This window comes from Homo sapiens, chromosome 8 (assembly GCF_000001405.40).
Source record: "Homo sapiens chromosome 8, GRCh38.p14 Primary Assembly".
Lineage (NCBI taxonomy): Eukaryota > Metazoa > Chordata > Mammalia > Primates > Hominidae > Homo > Homo sapiens.
In genome coordinates this window covers 121,055,745-121,067,034 of record NC_000008.11, presented here as the reverse complement: position 1 = coordinate 121,067,034, position 11,290 = coordinate 121,055,745, and the positions used below count along the sequence as shown (strand labels likewise).

At 38.2% G+C, this 11,290-nt stretch overlaps 2 annotated features.

The window, feature by feature from the left end:
- Nucleotides 1,136–2,621: an enhancer, noted in NCBI's record as "VISTA enhancer hs1482". NCBI's record gives its function as "enhancer in: limb[3/5]" and the evidence as "EXISTENCE:transgenic organism evidence [ECO:0001131][PMID:17130149]".
- Nucleotides 10,489–10,990: an enhancer, noted in NCBI's record as "H3K27ac hESC enhancer chr8:122068285-122068786 (GRCh37/hg19 assembly coordinates)". NCBI's record gives its function as "activates a minimal SCP1, AML or CMV promoter by ChIP-STARR-seq in primed H9 embryonic stem cells {active_cell/tissue: H9 hESC(primed)}" and the evidence as "EXISTENCE:reporter gene assay evidence [ECO:0000049][PMID:30033119]".

Here is an 11,290-nt window from a genome sequence, read left to right as displayed (position 1 = left end):
ACCTCTCTTTTCCTATTCACTGTTTTTCCCCTTAGGCAACCTCTCTAGTCACTAATTTAGGCAATAAGCCTCTGGTTGTCTCTGCATGCCTCTTTCATTGTAGAATCTCTGCCCAATGTATGACCCGAAGCAAGGACAGCTGGAGGTCCCTGTAATCTTGGCCTGCCTGCCTGGGATGGAGTCTCTGTACTATGAAGATGAGCTTGGTGGGGGAAAGGGATCCTCAGCCTTTCCCTGTACTCAACAGGAATATTATTTTTTTAATTTGGAGTTGAAAGAGATGAAAAGTGCTAGAACCTTGTCCTCCTATTGAGATACTGTAAGCATTGATTGGAAGATGAAGGGAGAGGGACTTCTTCCTTAGCTTCATCCATCCATAATGGAGCTCCTCTAAACTGAGCTGGGGATGGTCTCGAGAGGGAGGATTGTGGATCAAATGCTACTGACTGGCTGTTCTTAATAGGTTTTAGTAGATTTTCTCTAGTAAATATTTATTTGCTTTATTCCCTTAGGACACTTTACAGAGACTTTAATTTATTGGATTTTTTTCATTGTTTTTTACCAACTTTGTTTTTCTGGGGAGTGGGTCCATGGAACTTCTTATGCTGCCATCCAGAAGTGGAATTCATTGATGTGGTACTTTTTAACATCATTCTAAGATATTGTAAGGAAAACTCGTTGACCTCCTGGAATGCTTGTGTACTAGCCTTGCACTAAAAAATATTCACAGTTGACTTTGTAGAATGGAATATTACTTTCATGACTCCATCTATGTTCATTACCCCACAGCTAATTAAGATTAAAGCCTTACTATGCCACTATTGCTGGTTCTCTCTGTAAAAACACACATATTTGTGTCAAGGCCACTGCTTATTGGCCCCATAATTGTATTTTCTGCATCCTCATTGTTCCTGGCCACCTAATGCTGATGAAAAAGTGGGAAGAATATTTCTTATTCCCCACTCTAGGTCACACTTTGACACAGAAGTGGGCACTCAAGAAAAAATACTTGTACTCTCCGTGCACCACAAAAGGCTTTGACAGTATGCCTCTATAATCTGTGCCTGATGTCCCACTTTTCACATACACAAACCTCTGACTTCATGTAGGTAGGCCTGGAAACCAATATGTGAGACAGGTATCACTGGGTCCACAAAATATAAACTCCTCCCTTTTTTGCCTTTGCACACACAAGACCTCAGTAAAGATCTTTATTGGAATCTACTCATGATGGCCCCCTGTACCAGTTTATAAAATATGCATATTTTTGCCTGTCTTCCAACAGAGATTCAAGCTTTTCCTAAAGCAAGAGTTGGCAAAATATGGTCTTTGGGATAAATCCGGCTTACCACCTGTTTTGGCAGAGCCTGTGAGTTAAGATAGTTTCTATAGATGAACATTTGATTATAGGGAATGCTAATTTTGAAGTAAGTGAAATGCTATTTCCCCCCAAATAATATTACTATTTTCATTAGATTTAAGTCACAAAGTAATTTGTACTTAATTATTATTATTATATTTTGAATTTTATCAATAAAAATTTTGTGGAAATTTATTTTCACTCATTATATACCTTAAATATTATCATGAATTTGTCCTATTGGTCCAAAAAGCCTAACATATTTATTATCTGTTGCTTTAAATAAAAATTTTTCCAACTCTTATCCTATAGGATGCCCAAGGGAATATGAATTTGAAGAATGCTAGAGAAGAGTACAAAAGTTGTGAAAATTGGCATACTCCTGTACAGGATATAGTATCCCAGATCTTGGGGATAAGACAGAGTTAGTGACAAAGCTGAAAGGTCCAATAGTACAGCTACAGATTTGCAGCAGATGTGGTCAATTTACTCCTTTCCTGACCAGATGGAGGCTATAAAGTAGGAAGCAAGACAACTTTCTTTGTACACTCCAGTTTTTTTTTTAACACTGTCAACACATAAACTCCAAGAAATGGCAGGCACCTTGCTTTCTTCAGGGCAAAACACTTTCAGTGAATTTTTATTAGCCTAATTCTCACCCATATGCATGGCTAATACACAGTGCGATGTTTTTATGCTTCAACTACCTGCACAGTAGCATGATGTGTTTAGATCAGAGGCAGTAGGATGTGGTAGAAACTTTGCAAGATACAAAAAAGGAACTTAAAATCTTGTCACTTTAAAGTTGAGTGGCTTAATCTGTATCAAATTACTTAATCTAACAAGTCCTCAGCTTCTTTGCTGTAAAATGGAAATTCTAATATGTAGCTACTTCCAAGGCTGCTATTCAAAACATGTAGTAACCAACATAGCACAGGCACTGATGAATCAGAAAGTATATTGGCCATGAAGAATGGGTAGAGCCATACAAGCCAGACTTATAAATTATGTAGAAACTTCATGAGAAACTGTCATGTGTGCCTCAGAGTCTAAAATATAATAAGTGCATTTTAATTTTTTGCTGTTGTTACAATGACACAATTTCCTCCCTGCATCCTTAAAAATGATTTCCTACCTTACCTGTTTAAAAGTACTGCATTTTTTATATAGCAATGTATTTATAGTGTCAGATAAGATTTGACACATGATGAGAATATGGGCTTCCTTGAAAACAATATCTAGAAATGATCCTCAAGGCTGACTTGACTGGAAAATATTATGTTTATCCAATAACCAAAATTGGTAGTGAGATTATTGCTAAAAGCAAATTAAATTAATAATCCTTAGGTCTTGAAAAATAGCTAGTTTGCATGAAAGGGTTGTGGTGAATTTAACAGGGTTTACCCAAGCTCAGACCATGAGCAGAAAACACTCAGGCAGAAACACATCTAGCATTTCTCTGTAGTTTTGATCTGTATACTCTAAGTATTTTATTCTTTGAAATGAATATATGTTGTGGGTAGAATGTTTGTGTGCCCTCAAAATTTATATATTGAAATCTAACCCCAATGTGATAGTATTAGGAGATGAGGTCTGTGGGAGGTATTTAGGTCATGAGGATGGAGCCCTCATGAATGGGATTAGTGCCCATATGAAATGGATCTCAGAAAGCCAGCTCACTTTCTTTCTACCATGTGAGAGTATAGTGAGAAGCTGGCAGTCTGCAAACCCAGAACCTGACCATGCTGGCACCCTGATCTCTGACTTTCAGCCTCCAGAACTGTAATAAATAAATTTTTATTTTTTATAAGCCACCCTGTCTATGGTACTTTGTCATAGCATCTTGAAGTAAGACAGTATACAACATTTCTTAGTGTTTGTGACTAGAAGAGAGAAGAGAGGTCAGTGAAATCCTCTATCCTGATTAGGTCCACGATGACACATAATAGAAATGATTTATTGACTATGTATACAAATACTAGGTATTGTTTGAACTGCTTTACACATATTCATGTAATTGTTATGACAGCTCTATCAGATAGTATATTGAACACCTTTTAATCACCAGTTTACACTCTTTTGGACTCTGTTGTCCAATATTCCACAACTATATCAACCAGCTCTACGTATGTTCCTATCAACTTCACACTGTACAAATGATAGCGCTTAGTCCCTGGCCACCCATGCCATTTGTTTTTAATCCCAAACCCCAGAACTTACGTTTTGATGCCCTAGAGTAGGACACCAAACAACCTGCTCAATGCTTACATATGCAACCCAGAAATTATGAGGAGTTAATACCAAGGCAAATATTCATTTAATGAAAATTAGAACTGATTTTCCTATTCTTCCAAGCTCACAGTCTTAAAGTGTTTTTCATATGGCTGCTTAGACAACACTGCAGAATTAAGTAATCAGTAGCATGTAGCAATACCCAACTCAATGATATACCTTTGTAATAACCCCATCTTCTTTCTTGCTTTACCCCTAAGGTCAACTTAATCCCCCTCCCTGGGTCATACTCTCCAATAAACCTCTCACATATATCACGAAGGAGCCTTTGTTCCAGGATCAGCTTTCTGGGAACTTGGTACTAACCCAGTTATTATCAAACGTGGCCCGAGACAGTAGACCCTCAAGATAGAATTTTGGAGCATGAACACTCCCCAGTCAGAGGGCAATAAGATGATCCCTATTCATGCTGCCAGTTGAGATGAGGATTACCATTGGAACTGAGTAAAAATAAGAATTACTAAGATTCTTGCCTATGGTTTTTTAGGATAAGGTAAGTAGACGGTAAGGCCTTGGGTTATGTGATGGCTGTGGCCCATTAATGCTTCGTGGAGCTGACAATAATTACATTTGTAGAACAAGCTGATTTTATTTGCTGGAAGTCTTAAGAAAAAGAAAGAATCATAGTAGCCAACTTAAACTCAAAGCATGCTGTGAAAGCTGTAGATCCTCTATGGCAGCTTGAAAAAGACATTAAACTGCAGCTGCAGGGGTGATTGTGCTGAAAATCAGGCTCCTCCCTAATCTAATTATAAAGATGGCAGAGCATTAAAGGGTAGTAAATGCAAGCTTCAACAGATGTCCTATGTCACAGTCAGGAACCCAGCAGGAAAGAAATAAAATTCTGTGGCCTTGGATGAGGATATTCAATGGATAAGCCTGAGATTCGTTTTTTTTTTAAATCAGATTTATTAAAGTGTAGTTTATATACAATAAAATTCACCCCTTGTAAGAGTACAGGTCAATGAGTTTTGACAAATTCACATGCTTATGCAACCAGCAACACAATCAAGATCCAAAATACTTTTAACACCCTAAAAAGTTCTCTCATGACCCTTTGAAGTCAATCTCTTACCCTCACCTTTAGCCTCTGGCAACTATTGACCTATTTTTTTAAATATCTATAGTTTTGCATTTTCCAGAATGTCACATAAATGGAATTATACAGTACAACATTTTTTTAACCTCTATGCTTTCATTTAACGTAATACTTTCCAGATTCATTGTTTTTCTTCTAATATAAATAGTTTGTTCCTTTTAATTGCTAAATAACATTCCATGTATATATCACAATTTGTTTATGCATTAATCTGAGGCTGAGAATCTGGAAGCCCTGATTTCCCTGGACAAAATCATGCTAGCAAGAGAATTCTCTTACCAGAGAATCGTTTCCTTACCTGGAGATCCTGTGTGATTAAGTGGACATGAAGGCACAGCATGAAATTATAGTGTCTGCTTTAGGAAGAAATAGCATCTACATCAAAGGAATAATAGAATCTGAGTGTGTCAGAGAAACCCCTCCCTCACTAAATATATTTGTTCCCTAATCCCTGATACCTGTGAATATTACATGCCTAAAGGCCTTTGCAGATGTGATTAATATTAAGAATCTTAAAATGAGGGTATTATCCTGGATTGGTCCAATCTAATCACATGAGTCATTAAAGGTAGAAGAGAAAGGCAGAGGAGTAAGTCTGAAGAGATGTGACCAGAGAAGCACTCAACTCATTTTTGCTGGCTGTAAAAAGGGAGAAATTGAGCCATGGGCCAAGGAATCCAACAACCTCTAGAAGCTGGAAACAGCCCTCATTTTATAACCAGTAAGAAGATAGGGTCCTTGGTTCTATAATTGCAGGGAACTAAATCCCACCAACACCTCAAATAGCAGGAAGCAGATTCTCCCCTGAAGCCTCCAGAAAGACTCCACCTGCTGACAACTTGATTTTGTCCAGTGAGACTTGTGATTTGTACTGACTTCTGACCTACAAAAATGTAAGATAATAAAGCTGTGTTGTTTCAAGTCACTAAATTTGTGGTTATTTGTTACAGCACAAGTAGAAAACTAATATCTGCAGTCACGTATATTAGCAAGGATTGGGAGAACAAAGTGTAAGAGTGTGTCTGGAGGGTGTTAATATGGGGCAGGAGATGGAGCAAAAACTAAGGCCAGATAGTGGGAATGTATTAACATTTGATGGAGCCTTCATGTATGACTCGGAGTCACTATTCTGCCAGAGATGTCTGAAATGTAGCCTAATACAACCCTAGAACCATGCCTTGCAATTTGGCATAATGATGGCCAACAGAAACTGAGATAAAGATGCCAAGACTTCCTTGAGAAAGGGTTAGAAAGCTAAGAGGTAGGGATATCAGAAAGAATTTATTATGTCAGCAGAAGAGATCTGCGGACAGATATGTGCTGATATGTGCATAAACCTGTACACCACCACCATAATGAAGAAACTGAACACATCTATAAAACCCCAAAGTTTCCCCAAGCTCCTTCATAATCCCTTCCCTTCCCTATTCCCAGGCAGTCATTGACCTGCTTTTTGTGTCTATAGATTAGTATGCACTTTTTAGAATTTTACATAAATGAAAACGTATATAGTATATTCTTTGTATGTTTGGCTTCTCACTTCACATAATTACTTTGAGATTCTTCCATGATGTTGTGTGCATCAGTAGTTTATTCCTTTCATTGCTGAATATCATTGGATGTATACACAGAGTTTATTTATTTACTTAGTGCTTGGACATCAAGCTGTTACTAAGTTTTAGATACTTCAAATAGAGTTGCTATAAATATTTGTATCCAAGTCTCCATGTGGACATATGCTTTCATTTCCCTTTGGTAAATATCTAAAGTAGAATGGCTGGATCATATTGTAGAAGTATGCTTAATGTTTTAAGACACTGTCAAACTGTTTTCTAATGTGGTGTACAATTTCACACCTCCACCAGCAGTGTATAAGAGTTCCAGTCCCTCCACATACTCACCAATGTTAGATATGGTCAGTGTTTTTAGTTTTAACCATTTTGATAGGTGTACAGTGCTATCTCTTTGTATTTAAAATTGATCATTTATCTTGCAGGCTTGCTAAATTTACTTAGTTTTAGTATCTTTTTTTGTAGATTCAACTGATTTTCTACATAAATGACTATGTTGTCTGTTAATAATGACAATTCTTCTTTGATAACGTAAATGGATTTTTAATTCTGTAGTTGGCAAATTTTGAAACTTCAAATGGAGGTCACAGTGAATTTCATGTATTTCATCTTGACCACTTAGTCATAACTGCTCTAATAATGCACACAGTAGGTACCCAATAAGTAAATACCTTATGATTTTCTCAAAAGGATGTGTTGTCATATAAACTAGGTCGATGCCTGAAAAACATTTATGAAAGAGGAGGATGAGAAAAAGTAATTTTAAAGGCTCTTCAATTTATGTAAAACAGGAACTTTGTCTTTTTTTTAATGAAAAAGTGAGAGAGAACATCAGAGAGTTGTCACCAGACATTAGCAGGGTATACACTGGCTAAAGAATATTAATGCCTTTACATTCAATGTAACTTTAATTGTCATTGGCATTCCAGAAATGTATTTGGTTTCTGTGTGGACTCTTCCATTTGCAGAGGATATTAATTTTTGACTCTTCTTTCTATAGTAGTGATGTACACTGTATATATGAGTGTATAAACTAGAAAATCATTTTTGGTTTTCCTGTTGTTATTCCAATTGCATCCTGGCCAGCTTCCTAGATGATTAATTCTGGAAGTCTCTGTTGAGTAGATGAAGTGCTAAGTTTGTGAATTAGACAACTAAACTTTCCAACCTACTGAGATACTTTGGTCCAAATGAACCAAAATAGTGGTTTCTAGGAATTTTATATTGTCTCACACGTTGAATATGTTTAATCCTCTCCTTTAACTTTCACAGGATATACTATGTATAAAATATTTGTTATTTTAATAGACTTTTAGAGAAATTTTAGGTTCACAGCAAAACTGAGCAAAACATAGAGTTCCTATATACGCCAAGCCCCTACACGTACACAAACTCCCCAACTATCAATGCCCCACACCACAGCAGTATATTTGTTACAATTGATAAACTTACACTGACACATCATTACCATCTAAAGTCCACAGTTTAGGGTTGACTCTTGATGTTATACATTCTGTGCATTTTGTTAAATATATAACCACAGATATCTGTCATTATAGTATCATACAGAATAGTTTCACTGCTCTAAAAATGCACTGTGCTCTGCCTATTCATCCCTCCCTGCCTCCTAACTCCCGGAAACCACTGATCTTTTTGCTGTTTCCATAGTTTTGCCTTTTGCAGAATGTCATATAATTGGAATCATAGACTATGTAGCCATTTCATGTTGGCTTCTTTCACTTAGTAATACGAATTGAAGATTCCTCTACATCTTTGCCTGGCTTGATAGTTCATCTTTTTTTTGTAGTGCTGAATAATATTCCATTGTCTAGATGTATCACAGTTTATTTATCCAGTAGTTCATTTTCTATTGTTGAATAGTATTTCATAAAAGTTTATGCTGATAAACTATCTAGAGGGGTAGGCAGTCTTCTCCACAAGGTCATCCCACAAGTCAAGCCCCTTCTTTTGTTCTCTGATTCCCTAGGGTGTATTCAGATAGTTCACCACCACTGTGCCCACATTCTAGCCTATGAGAAAGAAGAAAGGAAAGCATAACACAAACACTTTCCTTTTAAACTGATGATGTGAAAAATAAATGATGGAGGGATAGGTAGATAGATACATAGATAGATAGCTACATAGATCTACTACTGAACTAAGAAGAGGTTAGATTTTAGATAACAATTAGCAGACAACACCACGGCAGGTAGAAATAAGCAATTTTCACAAATTACAGGGCACACAAAATTATGGGCCCTATAAATTCAAGTCAGTTTTAGTAAGGTATGGAAATGTTGAACCTCACTAGCAGAGGTAGTATAGAATAATACAATGTTTCTCATATTTTCTAAAATCAGAGTTTCTCAAAGTGTGGTTCATTCCAAGTACAAGTAAGCAAGTAACGATTTTATGAGGTCTTTGGATACATTTATGTTTCTTTTCAGTAGTTATCTCTATTTATTGGCTACCTTATTTTTATGGCAAGCTATCCCAGTTTTCCATTTATGGCAATGATATAGTTTCATTTAAAAATATATTTAACCAAAAGCAATAATCATATTTAAATAAAAATGCCAAGCAAAAATAATACCAACATGAGATTTACATAATAAAAATTACTAAGGTGGACTCAAATGACTTAATATATATTCCTTAGATTAACATAAAAACTTCATTCTCTCTTTGTTAAAATTTTCAAACAAATTAGATATGGCTAAAACAAATGAATTCTCTTTTAGTCTGAGTGTTTACCTATTTTAAAACTTCATAGACTGCCATACACTGAGATTCTTATGCACACCCATAACAAGATGTAGCACCTCATTGGGAACCACTAGGCAGTTGAATAGACACTGAAACATTTTAGTGTTGAGCTTCTTTCCTGAAATGACCATTTACTGGTTATGACACTGAGGCTCAGTTCCTTCATCTACAAATGGGATACTAAAAAGAGAAACAGAAAAAAAGAGAGAGAGAGAGAAACAAATGGTATAGTAATACCTAAGCTTCCAGATTTAAGAAGGAAACAGTTCAGCTAAAATTAAGTGTAACTGGATCTGCAAATATAAGAAATCCATTCAGCAATAGTAAAAACAATCTGGCTCTCAGTAACACTATTTTAGTCAAAGTGTTCCCGCTGTGAACTAGACCACTGTCATATGGTGAAAAGCCAAACAATGGTGGACATGGGAAGGAACAGCCATGGGAACCCACGGTCGAGGTAGTCAGAATCTGGTTCAGAAGACGACCATGGCACCCAAGGAAAATTTAACTGACTTCAAGGAGAAAATTGATCTGAAAAATACAAAGGCTTATTACTGAATATTATCCTAATAAATGTCTCTTTAGGGAAATAGTCTGAGGGAAATGTGACATCCAGGATTCCCTCCACTTTTTCCTCTCTAAGTTAAAAAGGTATTCCTAATTCTTTTAAAATAGTTATGCTAATAGTGCATATTATGTTATATAGCATTTATAAATTGCTATTCTAAACACTTTCTAAATTTATTGCTGTTCAAACATACATACACATGCACACTATATTTTAGGTATTTTTTTCTATTATAAGAATTATGTCATCCTTCTCTCTTACAGTATAAAAAAGAAGAGATTGTCAGGCGCAGTGGCTCACGCCTGTAATCCCAGCACTTTGGGAGGCCAAAGTGGGTGGATCACGAGGTCAGGTGATAGAGACCATCCTGGCTAACACAGTGAAACCCCGTCTCTACTAAAAATACAAAAATTAGCTGGGTGTGGTGGCACCCACCTGTAGTCCCAGCTACATGGGGGGCTGAGGCAGGAGAATGGCATGAACCCGGGATGCAGAGCTTTCAGTGAGCCGAGATCACGCCACTGCACTCCAGCCTGGGCCACAGAGCAAGACTCTGTCTCAAAGAAAAAAAAAGAGAGGAAAAGCTCCGGTCTACAGCTCCCAGCGTGAGCGACGCAGAAGACGGGTGATTTCTGCATTTCCATCTGAGGTACCGGGTTCATCTCACTAGGGAGTGCCAGACAGAGGGCGCAGGACAGTGGGTGCAGCGAGCCGAAGCAGGGTGAGGCATTGCCTCACTCAGGAAGAGCAAGGGGTCAGGGAGTTCCCTTTCCTAGTCAAAGAAAGGGATGACAGACGACACCTGGAAAATCGGGTCACTCCCACCCTAATACTGCGCTTTTCCAACGGGCTTAAAAAATGGTGCACCAGGAGATTATATCCCGCACATGGCTGGGAGGGTCCTACGCCTATGGAGTCTCCCTGATTGCTAGCACAGCAGTCTGAGATCAAACAGCAAGGCAGCAGCAAGGCTAGGGGAGGGGCACCCGCCATTGCCCAGGCTTGCTTAGGTAAACAGAGCAGCCCGGAAGCTCGAACTGGGTGGAGCCAACCACAACTCAAGGAGGCCTGCCTGCCTCTGTAGGCTCCACCTCTGGGGGCAGGGCACAGACAAACAAAAAGACAGCAGTAACCTCTGTAGACTTAAATGTCCCTGTCTGACAGCTTTGAAGAGAGCAGTGGTTCTCCCAGCACACAGCTGGAGATCTGAGAACTGGCAGACTGCCTCCTCAAGTGGGTCCCTGACCCCTGACCCCCAAGCAGCCTAACTGGGAGGCACCCCCCAGCGGGAGCAGACTGACACCTCACAGGGCTGGGTACTCCTCTGAGACAAAACTTCCAGAGGAACGATCAGACAGCAGCATTCACGGTTCATGAAAATCCACTGTTCTGCAGCCACCGCTGCAGGCAAACAGGGTCTGGAGTGGACCGCTAGGAAACTCCAACAGACGTGCAGCTGAGGGTCCTCTCTGTTAGAAGGAAAACTAACAAACAGAAAGGACATCCACACCAAAAACCCATCTGGACATCACTATCATCAAAGACCGAAAGTAGATAAAACCACAAAGATGGGGAAAAAACAGAACAGAAAAACTGGAAACTCTAAAAAGCAGAGCGCCTCTCCTCCTCCAAAG